This window comes from Homo sapiens, chromosome 3 (assembly GCF_000001405.40).
Source record: "Homo sapiens chromosome 3, GRCh38.p14 Primary Assembly".
NCBI classification, from domain to species: domain Eukaryota; kingdom Metazoa; phylum Chordata; class Mammalia; order Primates; family Hominidae; genus Homo; species Homo sapiens.
In genome coordinates, this window is record NC_000003.12 from 68,924,086 (window position 1) to 68,938,805 (window position 14,720).

The following is a 14,720-nucleotide window of genomic DNA, read 5'->3' on the forward strand; positions in this document are numbered from 1 at the left end:
AACACAGAATTATCATCCAATCCAGCAACTCCACTTCTGGGTAGAGACTCAAAAGCACTAAAGGCAGAACTAAAAGCATCTTGAACAGATGTTTGTATACCTATGTTCATAGCAGCATGACGTGCAATAGCCAAAAGGTGGAAAAAAACAAATGTCCATTGAAGGACAAATAAAAAATAAAGTGTGGGCTATACATGCAATGGATTATTCAGCCTTAAAAAGGAAATTCTGACACATGCTACAACATGGATGAACCTTGAAGACATTATGCTAAGTGAGATAAGACAGACACAAAAGAACGAATAATGTTATGTCTCCATTTATATAAGGTACCTAGAGGAGTGAAACTCAGAGAGACAGGAAGTAGAAAGGTGGCTGTCAGGAACTAGAAGGGGGAAATGGGAAATTCATGTTTCATGGGTACAGAGTTCAGTTTTGCACCACGAAAAAGGTTCTGTGGATGGAATGGGCAATGGTAGCTTAACAATGTGAATGTACTTAACGCCACTGAAATGTACACTTGAAAACGGTTAAAATGATAAATTTTATCTTTTTTACCCAAACTGAAACAAAAATGCTTAGTATAACACCCAGCAACATCCTTACTCAACAAATGATAACTATTGTTACTATTATAATTTTTTTAAAGCTCAACAAGGCAAATATTAACAAACATTCTCCAACGCAAAAATGGCCAGCATCCAGAGAAAGCTCTGATGAAAGACACACTTGCTAAGTAAGATTTAATTCCATTTAAACATCTCCTTACCCACTCCCCACTGCCTCTCTAACCCCCACTGGTAGGCACTCCTTGACCTTCATGGGGATGTTTAAATGTTAACCAATGAGCTTTCTAAATCTCCTCAGCTGCATATCAGCACCTAAGCTTTGAGGTGGGGGAAATTCCGCATACAAGGAGAATGAGATTGGTACCAAGGGGCAGACTCACAGCCATCCTCTGGCTTGCTTAATGGAGTTCCGTGCTTCTAAGCAGACCTAGACAAAGCAGACAAAGAGCAGGACAGAGTGCAAAGAAGATGTGAGGTTTTTATCCTGGGAGGACTGAGCCCATGGTAACCAATTTTATGGCTCTTTTGATTTGGGTCCATGGATATCTCTGTGTGTGCGTGTGTGTGAGTGTGTGTTGAGAAGGAATTAATCCAAAAATATAGATGAAGAAAGCTGCGACTCTGATGTGAAGCCGAGTTGCATAATCAGTTCTGAAGGCAGAGAAAAGGTAATAGATGTTTACATTACAATCTGGCTCCTACTGGAAGAGCTGCCAAATGATTTAAATAGTAACAAAGATTACTATTCCAGTGATTTGTTGCCCCCAACGATACATACAGAGAAGAATTCACCCCAGTAATTTTTTCTTTGGATGGCCTTAATTAAACATCACACTGTACAAAATATTTATGGCTTTCAGACTACTTAAAATCTTAAACTAGACACCACTTTAAAAGGTAGAATTGAAGGACTTACTCCATTACTGACATATGAAACTTGATGTCTGGTAAACAGGATGCATTACAAAGAAACTCAAAATCCCTTTTAACTTTTGGATGTTTTATGACTAATATTAAGATAAATTTTTAGGTAGAATAACATATAGCCATGAAAAAGAATGACATATAGCTCTCTTCACTGATTTGTCATCTTTCCTGGAATCACTCCAGAGCACATCTGGGTCTCATGTAAAATGATCACCACAACGTAGGAGGTCTCTACAGGCAAGGAATGTCGGCCTCCTTCCCTAGCCACAGGTTCATCAAAAGCCCTCTAATGGGCCTTTGCTGAGTAAACAAAGCAGGACACAGATCATATGATGTATGAACCCCGTTATTCAAAATTGTCAGGTCTAAGCCGGGCACAGTGGCTCATGCCTGTAATCCCAGTACTTCGGGAGGCGGAGGCAGCCAGATTACTTGAGGTCAGGAGTTCCAGACCAGCCTGGTCAACATGGTGAAACCCCGTCTCTACTAAAAATACAAAAATTAGCCAGGCATGGTGGCGCACGCCTGTACTCCCAGCTACTCAGGAGGCTGAGGCAGAATTGCTTGAACCCAAGAGGGGGTGGTTGCAGTGAGCTGAGATCATGCCACTGCACTCCAGCCTGGGCAACAGAGACTCTGTCTCCAAAAAAAAAAAAAAAATCAGGTCTAAATATATGTGAATAAAAGCAGCAGGAGGGAATTGGAAATAGGTTTACCAAAGTTTAAAAAGGAATTGTCTCTGGGTGGCAAAATTGGGTGGGTTTCTTTTTTTTAACTTTCCTTTTATATTTTTCTGCAATGTTTGAATTTTTCTACCCCAGGTATGTACTATTTTTATAAATTAAGAAAAGAAATTTTCAAAACAGAAGCCTAGGGTGATGAAAAGAACTGTGGCCTATGCATCAAGATACTTGGGTTCCCCGACAGAAATAAAGAGCTGCGGACATTGGATAAGACACTTTTCACTACTCTGGACCTTAAAAGTTGCCATTAGAGCAGAGTTTCTCAACTGCAGCATTCCTGACATTTTGAATCAAATAATTCTTTGCGGCCAGGCGTGGTGGCTCAGGCCTGTAATCCCAGCACTTTGGGAGGCTGAAGCGGGCAGATCACCTGAGGTCAGAAGTTTGAAACTAGCCTGGCCAACGTGGTGAAACCCGTCTCTATAAAAATACAAAGATTAGCCAGGCATGGTGACAGGTGCCTGTAATCCCAGCTACTAAGGAGTCTGAGGTGAGAGAATCGCTTGAACCTGGAAGGTGGAGGTTGCAGTGAGCCAAGATTCCGCCATTGCACTCCAGCCTGGGTGACAGAGCAAGAATCCGTCTCAAAAAAATAAATAAATAAAAAATAATAATTCTTTGCTGTGGGAGCTGCCCTGTGCACAACAGGATGTTTATTTAGCCAGTATTCCTGCCCTCTACCCACGAGAGACTGCTCTCCCATACCATCCTGCCCCAAATTGTAACAATCAAAAAAATGTCTCCAGACATTGCCAAAACTCCTCTGGGGAGCAAAATTGCCCCCCATTGGAGCAATTTTAAGTTTCCCCTCCACTTCGTGGTCTGTAAGTTTCTTCCTTGCTGAAAACCTTTGTTAATTTTTAGAAGCTGTATTTAAAGTCTGTGGTTTTAGGCCCAATGATTCCCAGGTTAGTAACTACAGTGTACTGCAGACTTATCAATATTTTCATCACACTAGAGAAAAAGATGAAATAGAAATGAAGAAAATCAAGAAATAAAACTACTAATTTTCAGAGAAAACTTTAGAACACATGGCACAGATGTGAAACTAAAAGAATCCAAACAGACACAGTGGTCATTAAAAAAAATGAATAAATAATAACTCTAGCTTTTGACAGCTCCGCCTTTTGTTAACGTAACTGAAATACTGTAGAATGTTCTATTGCTTTCTAGTTTAAAATGAACTTATAGCACTAGCAAAGCCAACAGAGTAGTTTGTGTGTACTGCCATATTTTTATCTTTTTAAAAAAAGCTTAGTGTTTTCTCTTTGCTTCATAAGAAATACAAGTATAGCCAGGCACAGTAGCTCATGCCTGTAGTGTCAACACTTTGAGAGGCCGAGACAGGAGGGTTGCTTTAGCCCAGGAGTTCGACACCAGCCTGGGGAACATGCTGAGACTCTGTCTCTAGAAAAAATAACAAATTAGCTGGGCGTGATGGTGCACACCTGTAGTTCTAGCTACTCAGGAGGGTGAAGCAGAAGGATTGCTTTAGCCCAGGAGGTCAAGTTTGCAGAGAGCTGTGATCATACCACTGCACTCCAGCCTGGGTAACAGAGACACCATCTCAAAAAAAAAAAAGAAAAAAGAAATACAATGATATCTTCCTATTTTTCCAAAAAGGATATTTTACTCTTCTGGACTAACAATACCACAATCTCATAAAAGGAAACAAATTACCCATGTCTTTATTATCTTTCTAAATGGTGTCTTGTCATTTTATTAACAAGAACTCCCTAATATTTGATGCTACCATACTTCTGAATTAAAATTATTTATGCTTGTGTTAATGATTTGCTACTCTAAGATCCTGACAGCTTTTGAATTAAAAAGAATGACTAAAAAAGATTCAATGTTGCCTTAGATTCATAACTCTGAAAATCAGTAGTTCATCCATATAAAGAAAGCCATCTAGTAACCAGAATGTTTCCATAACATCAACACGCTACAGCTGGCACATACTGAGTGTTCAACAAATGTGGGGTACCATTATCGTTATTCACAATCATGCCAGAAAATAATGTTGTACCAAATTATTGGCTAGTACTGGCTTTTATAGCAACTAAAAGGCACTAAGTATGAAAGGGCAGCCTATCACTTAATAGATTGATATTCTGAGTTCTTTCACAAATAAACCATAAATCATTATCTTAAACTGCCTGACCATCATTCTAACATCCATGTCTTTCCATGTGTTCAGTTAGGTTCAAATTGCGTCACCCTGCCCAATACTCTTCCATCGCCAGCTCCCCTTTAAACCTTTCGTTTATAACTGTGGATACTGTCGCAGCTACTAGGAAGTAACCCAAGCTAGCTGGTGTATACAGCTGTCCAATCCTTGAGGTGGGCTCAACTAGCATGGTAGTCCAGCAAACTGATGGTGCAAGAAGCCAATGTGGCCCTCCTCCGCAGAGACAGCCAAGGGAAGGGGTCCCACCACATCACAGGAGTCATTCTCTCCCAGTCTTCATTGGAAAGTGCACTGGGCTAGGAATTAGGACTCCGGGATTCTAATCCCAGGTTTTTTAAATAACATAATAGATCCAAGGTAGGACAACACCTCCTACCCCTGATCTTCTAGAAAGGTGAAATCTGAGGTACTTTCTAGATTTAAAATTCTTTGAGCGTTTCCTTAAACCAGATTTTACAATTAAGTTTATTTAAAAAAAAAAAAAGAGCCCTTTTGACTGACTGAAGGGAAATGAATTGAATAGCAACTGTACAACAGGAAGAATTTCTCTTATTTTTCAGCAGATACCAAATAGATGGGAAGTCAAGGTCAATTTTATCTTTTGAGAGGTGGGTTACAGGAGATCACAAATTGAGTGAGGCATTACAAAGTGCAGTGCCATACTACAGCTTAAGTCTCTAAGTCAGGGCTGCCATACCATACTTAAGTCTCGAAGTCAGGGCTGTCTAGGTTCTGACATGGCTTTCAGAAATAACATTTTCAAAACAAATAATTATGAAGTGATTAATGTGGCCAAGATCGCTTCACCAATACCTTTGTGGATATCTTTGTTTCCTATTGCCTGAATCGTGAATCTTGTTTCCTATGGCCTCAATCCCCCACCCTCAATCCTGAATCTTGACAAATTAGGATAAATATACTGTATGGCCTCCCAATCATTTATGATTGATTGGCTTCAGGACTTTAAGTCATCTTGCTAATCCTGAGTGATTTAATAGCCAACACCTGAAGAAATGAACTCATGTACTCAAATTAGCCCATCACCTACGTGGCTATCTCTAGGACAAAAAATAAAAGCAAAAGATTAGTCCATTTACTGTGATGTCTTTACATATTTGTAAAGAAACAGAGCCAGAACACAGGGTGAAAAACTCGCAAAGAGGAAGAAAGCACAAGGGGGAAAATCTACTTATGCAAATTCTAAAGAGATCTATAAAATTGCAATCTGAGAATGTTATTATTAAGCTAAGCCTCTTAGTATAGAAATACCCAAAACTCTCAAACTGGGCAGCTAACGGAGAGTTAGTAAGTGCCAAAAAGACTTCCTTCTTTCCCTTATTCATCACAGGCAATATAGAATCACTTGCTCAATATGATAATATGACTTTTGTCAATGCATGTTCAAATCAGATCAAGGATTGGCTGCTGATGATGTCATATCCAATGGTTAATCCCCAGTGAATGCAGTTTTAATATCACATGCATCAACATGCCATTTACATAGCAAAGTATTATATTAAGTGTAACAATAAATGAGTGGTGCAGAAAAAAAGCAGCTATTAGGAAAAGGCTAGGTACCACTGAAAAGGAGGTGGTAGCGGGGAGCAAAGGAGTTTCTTCTTTTTCTTTTTTAATTACTAAATGGAACTAGGTCATCAAACAATACACATGTCTAAAAAGATCAGAAAATGAATATTGAAATTCAAGTGACCTAGGATATTCTAGTACTAGAAATATAAAAATGGTTGCCTTCAATGAAAAATATCCAATAATCAAGCAGAGATATTTGTAGGGGTTTTTGTATGTGCTAAGGGAACAAGTAATACAATTAAAGTCATTCAAAGATAGAGAAATTGGCAGCCACTGCTTTTCTGGACAGGACAACTTACTTATCTTTAGCAGGGAAAAGTGGCCAAGTCAAATTGTGACTTGAAGCCTTATAATAAATTTTAAAGTGTCAAAGGGCAGTTAAGATGGTACTGAGGGATGAAAGCAAAGTCACGCAAAGCAGAACAATGAGACAGAAGAACTTAGGAAGGGAACCTTGAAATACGGCTTTCTGCTATGAGAATATTGATTAAGAAATGTCCGTGCATATGAAGAAAGCTTCTTCCACAAATGAGCCATGCCAACTCACTCGGTCATTTTGGGAGGACACAAGTCATCATTCGTCATAATGATTCTGAAAACTGCTCTCACACTACCTTATTAAGGCCTGTATTTCCCATCTAGAGGAAGTGTTGGGCTTTCACACTGATATGACTATAAACTTAGCAGAAATTCTTCTCACTATAAAACCCACGCGAGCTATTGAAGAATTCTTCAAGTCATACATTTGTTCTCAGTGACTGAGTGGTAACACTAATTATATTGCAAAATGGCTGTTCCTAAATTATTTTAGCCTTTAAAAAAATCCAAGGCCTTCCTGAACTGGGCTCTGACACAAACTGCCCCCACCTCTTCCCTCCTCAGCGAGTGTTCTAGAGGGGGCCAAACGAAGATGCGTGTGATTAGGAAGCTAGGCCATCAGTGTGCACAAGTTTGGGTGACCGAGTCTGCAGGTGGCAGCTACGAGTTATGGTGGACAAGCTTTATGCCAAGGATATTAGAGACAGAAACAGACCAAAGCTTCGAAGGCGCCCATCCCCACACACGGGGATCGCCTGTCACATCACATCAACCTTGCTTGTCTCAGAGGGAAGACCATTGAAAAGTTAAAAGGGAAAAGAGTTCAGGGATAAAGACGTTAAACCAAAGGGGGGTCCCTGAATCTCGGTGACGGGGGATGGGCACCAGGCTAGGTCTCGGCGAGTCCGTGAACCCGTGCATGTACATACTGCTTAGGAGCTGATTCACAGCTTTACTAAGGCTCCGTGGAGCCCCTAAACGTTAAATGATGCTGATTCGAGAAGAAAACGCACCAGCGGCACTGTGTCTGGCTTGGGCAGCCTCACCAGGTGCAGGAGATCAAGCTTTCCAGTTCCAATCCTCTCCCGAGCTCCTTGCGTAGGGTCAAGGATGCCCTCTCTTCTAGGAGCGGATTAACAGGGCAAAGTGGGAAAAAGAGCGAAAGAAATGTAGAGATGCCACCTTGGTGGGCAAATCTGAGATGCCTCCCGCGGAAAGAGACGCAACTTCCAGACCCGCTCCAGTTCTCCACTTGGGCGGGAAGCTTTGCGCTCCCAGCTGGAAGACGCCTCCCGAGCGCTCGCTGCGCCCTTCAAGCAAGATCCTAGCAACCAGAGCTTCAGGGTGGGGGTGGGGGCGGGGGGACGCTGACCGGCTCCCACCTGCTTGCTCCTAGAAAGATCCTAGCTCAGATTAAAGGGATGAAGCGCTAAGGTCGACTTGTCCAGAAAAGAGCTCACGGTGAGTTCACCACCCCCTATACCAATTCATCGAGTGGCCTCCTCCGCATCAGCAGAGCACCCCCGGGGATTCTGTCAGACATGAACCCCGAAACTGGAAGCGGCCGCTGCCTCTCTCCAGCCACACATCCTTACTTCGGAGTGCCCCTTCCAACTTCGGGTTGCACGCCGACCTCAGCACAGGCACTCTCCCCGGCGCCCCAGAGAGCCGGGATGAGGGGAGCTGCACCGAGCTGAGTTAACTCGGTACCAGCCGAGAGGCAGCGGCTGCCCACGAGACAGCACCTAAATACAGGGTCCAAATCCACCCCCACCCCATCCTCTCGCCCCTCCTTATCCCTTCCAACCCTTCTTACTCGACTAGAGCCGGCATCCAAGTCGGACCGGCGCGTCCGGAACTAGGTACTGATCGCCGCACCGGAGCCCGAGGACGCTCACCGTGCCGCCTCCCCGCGGGAGCCCCGGGAGCGGCCCATCACCTCTGCAGCCTCGCCAGGAGAAGAAAAGTTCCCACGTCTCTACCAGGAGAAGCCCGAAGCTCCTGCGGGAGAAGCCTGAAGCTGCTGCTGGAGAAGCGGCAGCTGAGGCAGGACTCCCGATGTTTGCCCGCAGCCGCGCGCGCAGTCGGTGCGCCCCGTCCAGGGCGGCGCGCAGCTAGCAGTGCGGAGCCGAGCCCAGCTAGCGCGCTGACCAGGAGGGGCCGGGCCCGCCGCGGAACGCGCTGATTGGCCGGGCCGCCCGGCTGCTCCTGTCCCTGCCTGGCCCCGCGGTCCACGTGGGCCGGCCTTCTCCCCGCCCCGCACCCCTGCTCAGGCGGCGCGCCCCCACTGCCGGCCTCCAGGCGCCTCTCCCGAGCGCCTCGCTGTGGCCACCACTCCGCAGGTGCTGAGCAAAAGGTATTCTTCCTGAATACCTGAGAGTCGCGTTGAGCTCCACATAAGGAAGACGGATTTAGGGTTCGGCTCTCACTCGAAACCATTCTCCACGCAGGACCCAAAGCGGTTTGCAAGCAGGATTTCTTAGCCACCCCGTGCAGTAGCACATTCATGAACTAATCTGGCTTCGCGTGTAATGTGCTTGTATGAGAGAGGAGAAAACTCGGCCCACGTATGAATACCTAAATACTTTTCTTTTTTAATGTATAAAATACAGCTGGGGCCGGGCTCGGTTGCTCACGCCTGTAATCCCAGCACTTTGGGAGGCTGAGGCGGGTGGATCATGAGGTCGGGAGATCGAGACCATCCTGACTAACACGGTGAAACCCCGTCTCTACTAAAAATACAAAAATTAGCCAGGCGTGGTGGCGGGTGCTTGTAGTCCCAGCTACTCGGGAGGCTGAGGCAGGAGAATGGCGTGAACCGGGGAGGCGGAGCTTGCAGTGAGCCGAGATCGCACCACTGCACTCCAGCCTGGTCGACAGAGCGAGACTTCGTCTCAAAAAAAAAAAAAAAAAAAAAAAAAATTCAGCTAAGACTTCTTTGACTCCCTCCTCCCACCCCATTCCTAGTCATGCCCTCCACTCTTCCGCAAGTGAAGTAACTGATAATCAGTGTCACTTAATGGTATTCATTTTACTGGGATTAGTTCATCTGATCTCTATTTTATAGATGAGATAACTGAAGCACAGAGAAGTTAAATCGTTTACTGAAGATTACACAGGTAACTAGTAAATCCATGCTCTTTAGTATGCAAAGCATGGCGTCGTAGAGCGGTCCCTTGAGAACACTTTAGAACTGCAGACTTTCAGGCCCCACCCCAGAAGTAGAATCTTCATTTTAACAAGATGCCCAAGTGGCTGGTGCATGCATAAAGTTAGAAAACGTTGCTCTGTACCACTATGCTGCTCACTGTCATTGGCTTGGCTTATCATCTTCTGGTCCTTTTACTCTGCATTGACATACAATTATGTGCCATCCTGCCCCTGCTGCACTCCAAAGTATGTTCACCCTTCTCTGACTCTACCCCTTGAACTAACGTATGGCAGGCCTTCTGCTTCTGTTCCCCGTACCACACATACCATAGCACATTTTACTTGTTAAACAGTTTCAATCTCTTACTCTCTTATTATTAAAATGGGGGTTCTACATTCAAAGGCAATTTGTTATCAAGATGTCACCAGTTTAAGAGAGAATTCAAGCTTTGGAGATAGGCGCTTGATCTTTGAGATTTCCTTTAAAGACTAGCATTGAAGTTCTGTGACGGCCAAAGGGGAGATCCAAGCAAAACCTGAAATAGCATGCCAGGAGATTCCAGAGCTCTTTCTCAACAGCATTCATTCATTCATTCACTCACTCAGCAAAACTGAGGGCCTACTCTGTGTCAGGCGCTGTAACAAGTGCTGGTACATAGAGAAGGAAACACAACAGTGAAAAGTTCCTGAGTTCATGGAACTTATCTTCTAGTAGGGAGAGATGGGCAATTAACATGACAAATAAGTGAATTACAGAGTTTGATAGAAAGTGGTCAGTGTTATAGAGAGAAAGAAAGTAACAGAAAAGAAGGTGAGTACTGGGGAGATGGTGGTTTTAAGAACAGTAGTTAGGCTAGTTCCCACTGAGAAGGTAATATCTGAACCAAGACTTGGAAGAAGTGAGGGAGCAAGTCATTTAGAAGAACAAGTCCACATTCATTTGTTCACCAGATATTCGTTGCTTCCACACTGTGTGACAAACATGGTTCTGGCAAAGATCTGCGTGTTTACTTAAGCCCTGTTTTCCATGTCTCCAATTTTCCTGCACTGGGGGTTTCTTGTCCTGGTGAGGAAAACCAAAACGTAAGCAACTGTGTTTGGCTCAACCTAATACCATGTTCTTCCATCCTGGATGTTCAGTACTGTTAGAGGTTCAAATTTGTCTCCCTAAAATTTATATGTTTAAGTCATAACCCCCAGTACCACAGAATGTGACATTATTTGGAGATAGGGTCTTTATGGAATTAAATTAAATGAGGTCTTTAGAATGAGCCCGAATCCAGTATGACTGTGTCCTTATAAAATGGGGAAATTTGGAGACAGACATGCACACAGGAAGAACACCATGTAGAAATCAGGACAGAGATGGAGTGATACTTCCACAAGCTAAGGAATGCCAAAGATTGCCAGCAAACCACCTAGGGAGAAGAGAGGCGTGTAACAAATTCTTTGCAGCCCTCAGAAGGAACCAACCCTGCTAACACCTTAACCTTGGACTTCTAGCCTCCAGAACTGTAAGACAAGAAATTTCTGTTGTTTAAGCCACCTAGTTTGTGGTATTTGTATGGCAGCCCTAGCAAATTCATACAAGCATAAAAGTGTGTTTGTTTCTAAAGTAAGATAGTACAGTTAAGGGACTCATCTGTAAGTTTCCAATGACCTGATGTCTCTTGTGCAGTAGCAAGAAGCCAGAATGATCTGATAAATTGAGATTTACTAACCAAATCACCACAAAAAAGGCAAGCTATATTAAAAAAAAAAAAAAGAAATAGCCACTAAGCCCCAATTATCCAATTGTTTCCTCATTCAGCTATTTATCAAGCGCCTGCTGTGAGCCAGGCTCTAGGATATGGTGACAAACAAGGCACATGTGAGTTGCGTGTATTCTTGTGGGGAAGGTTGGACAGTAAATAATTCAACAAATATATGAATAAGGTCATTTCAGAGCACAATAAGTGCTAAAAGAAAATAAAAGAAGGCTAGAGCATTAGAAGGATATGAGGATGGGTTTAATTTAGATTGGCTGCCTAGAGAAGGTCCCTATGAGGTAGTGACGTTTGAGTCAAGACCTAACTGACAAAAAGCCATCCAAGCGAATATCTGGGCAAAAATTGTTCCAGGCAGAGACAGTAGTTCCTCTTACAAGAAAACATTCCTGTCATTCATTCGGTAACATTCTTTCTCTCTCTCTTTGCGACCCATTTTGCATCCTTTGAGGTTGTGTAAAATCAATCAACATCTGTTTCCTAAAAATGGGGTCAAATGATTTATTTTCTTATGTAAGAACCTGTGAAGGTCACGCCAACGGTATTTTGCACACACCACACATTCACAAAACACCCCTGGATGTGCCTCTGTATTTGTAGGTAGTGACACCACGTGACTTGGACATTGTGTTTACTTTCCTCATTTGTATAACATCCAGAACACTACTGGCATGTCCTGGTGCTTAATCAATACGTGCTGATGACTGACTATGCCTGAAAGGAACGTTCTGACTCTCCTGGGCCTGTTTAAAAAATCCTCTTGTTTCTAGCGAAGCTTCAGTTTTAAAAATTTGCAACACAATTTTGCACTTAGTAATTTTTCTGAGGAGACTAATAAGAATGATAGCTGACTTAATTGGAGGCTTGTGTGTGGCTCACTATACTATGTACTTCACACGGATTATCATCTTTATAATCCATGTAAATATAAGTAAAGGTAAATACAAGGTAAATTCTCTTATTATAATCTCCATGTTACAGATGAGAAAACTGACACTCCAAAAAGGCTAATATGCCCGTGGTTGAAACCACCTTTAAATGGCCGACTTATGCCTTGAAACAGTCTCGCTTACTGTCAGCTCTGTGTTCGAGTGGTTGAACAGTGAAACAAGTGAAGAAAGAACAGAGAAAAAGCAAAAAGCCTCTGTCTGGGTACACATGGACATACTATGTAGAATAATAGGCATTGAAGACTACAAAATGTGGGAGGGTGGGAGCGGGGTGAGGGCTAAAAAATTCCCCGTTGGGTACAGTGTTCACTATTCAAGTGATGGGTACACGATAAGCCCAGACTTCACCACCATGCAACATGTCCACGTAAGAAACCTGCCCTTGTGCCTCCTAAATATATAAAAATAAATTTAAATGTTTTTAAAGCATCTGTCTATTCCTTTACATTTGTCTTTGAAATTTTCAAAGCACTGTTTTCTAACTTTTTTTTATTTACCCCAGCTTTCTAGCTTTCTAGTACACTTTTCTAGCAGGATATTTGCTTTGTTTTCCCTTGCTTCAAACTAGGAACTGCAGGGACTTTATAAATGAAATAACTGATACATATAATTTTTGTTTGTTTGTTTTCAGCCTGTCTGTTGTTCAACACCCTCTAAGGAAATGTAAGTCCAGCTTCTTAGCGCTCAGCCTACTTTGCCAGACATCCTATCTCATACATTGACAGTGTCCCAACACTAAGGGGTCCCTCCCCTTATTCCAATAGTAAAGAACATCACGTCCCTTGCCAGACCAAATGCTATAAACAATTTTGCAATACCAGCTCCGGCCCGCTTTACACAGATACTAATAGATCCTCCTGCCTGAGAGTGAACATCTAAAAATGGCTTCGGCCAGTCTTTGTGAATAACTTTCTATTCTCGTGGCTTCCCCACAGTCCTGATCAGGGAAAAAGCCCAGAGAACTTGCAACAGTGAAATGATGTGAGGCTTCTCTTGTTGCATCCTGGATTCCCTCACCTTGCCCAGGAAGTGGGTAGCCGTTTTAGCCGTAAAATGACTTCCTGCCTTGGATGGCTTGGTCAGACTTGTTTTAGACTTCTGGAACTCAGACAAGGTGTCTGGATATTTGCTTTGGAAGGCTCGGGTGGGTTTCACTATCATTCCCTTTGCTGACCACAACTGCTTCAATAATTTACACCCTGGAAAAGATCAGCACTTCAGGGCAAATTAGCATAAGAAGGATTTATGAAACCACAGTGGGAGGTCACTTTTAGAAATCATACAAGAGCTGTTGCACAGAGCAATACAAGCTAGGTTCCAAGCAGGGACAACCACAGATAGAATCATCAAAGAAATAATGCTCCTTTTGGTACCCTCTCTTCTGTCCATCCCTTCCACTCCAGCATCTCCCAATATGGTCGTATAGCACTCAGCTACACAGAAGGCTGGTGATGTCATTCATTACTTTATTTTCATTGATTCTTTTGCTAATTTGTTTAAACATTATGTTTGTTAAAGAGATATTTGTACACCCACATTATAGCAACATTACTTTTTGGAAAGAAGCAACCCAAGTGTCCATCAATAGATGAACAAATAAAATGTGATATATACATGAATGCAATGGAATGTAATTCAACCTTTAAAAGGAGGGCTATTCTGACACATGATGCAAAAATGGATGAACCTTGGAGACATCATGCTAAGTGAGATATGCCATTCACAAAAAGACAAATACTGTATGATTTCATTTATGTGAGGTACTGAGACTAGTCAAATGTATAAAGACAGAAAGTGGAATCATGTGACTCATGCCTATAATCCCAGCACTTCAGGAAGCCAATGCAGGAGGATCGCTTGAGCCCTGGAGTTCTAAACTAGCCTGGGTAACATAGTGGGACCCCATCTCTACAGAAAACAATTTAAAAACTTAGCCAGGCATGGCGGTGCTCATCTATAGTTCCAGCTACTTGGGAGGCTGAGGTGGGAGTATTGTTTGAGCCCAGGAGGTCGAGGCTGCAGTGAGCCATGATCATGCTACTGTACTACAGCCTGGGTGACAGTGAGACCTTGTCTCAAAAAAGAAAAAAGAAAGTATAATGGTGGTTGCCAGGGGCTAGAGCAGGGGTGTCCAATCTTGGCTTCCCTGGGCCACATTGGAAAAAGAAGAATTGTCTTGGGCCACCCATAAAATACACTAACACTAATGATAGCTGATGGACTTTTTTAAAAAATCACAGAAACATCTCATAATGTTTTAAGAAAGTTAACAAATTTGTGTTGGGCCACATTCAAAGCCATCCTGCGGCCCACAGGCCATGGGTTGGATGAGTTTGGATTAGAGGAAGGGAAGAATGGAAAGTTAGTGTTTAATGGGTATAGTTTCCATTTTGCAAGATGAAGAGTTCAGGGATGGATGAAGTGACGGTAACCCAATAGTTTGAATGTACTTAATGGCACTGAACTGTACACTTAAAAATCATTAAGCTGGTACATTTTATTACAAAGTGCATTTC

At 42.9% G+C, this 14,720-nt stretch overlaps 1 protein-coding gene across 4 annotated transcripts in view; it reads right to left on the reverse strand.

Annotated features, from left to right (window-relative positions):
- TAFA4 (TAFA chemokine like family member 4) overlaps positions 1-8,462 on the reverse strand; it is a 200,782-nt gene extending 192,320 nt beyond the window's left edge. For 2 of the 4 annotated variants that reach the window (XM_011533372.2, NM_001005527.3), the window contains exon 1: positions 8,237-8,462. The gene's annotated coding sequence lies outside the window, so the exon portion shown is untranslated. Of the gene's footprint in view, positions 1-8,154 lie in introns of all 4 variants that reach the window. The other 2 variants (XM_011533371.2, NM_182522.5) reach the window with 1 other exon arrangement.
- Between the last annotated feature and the right edge of the window lie 6,258 nt (positions 8,463-14,720).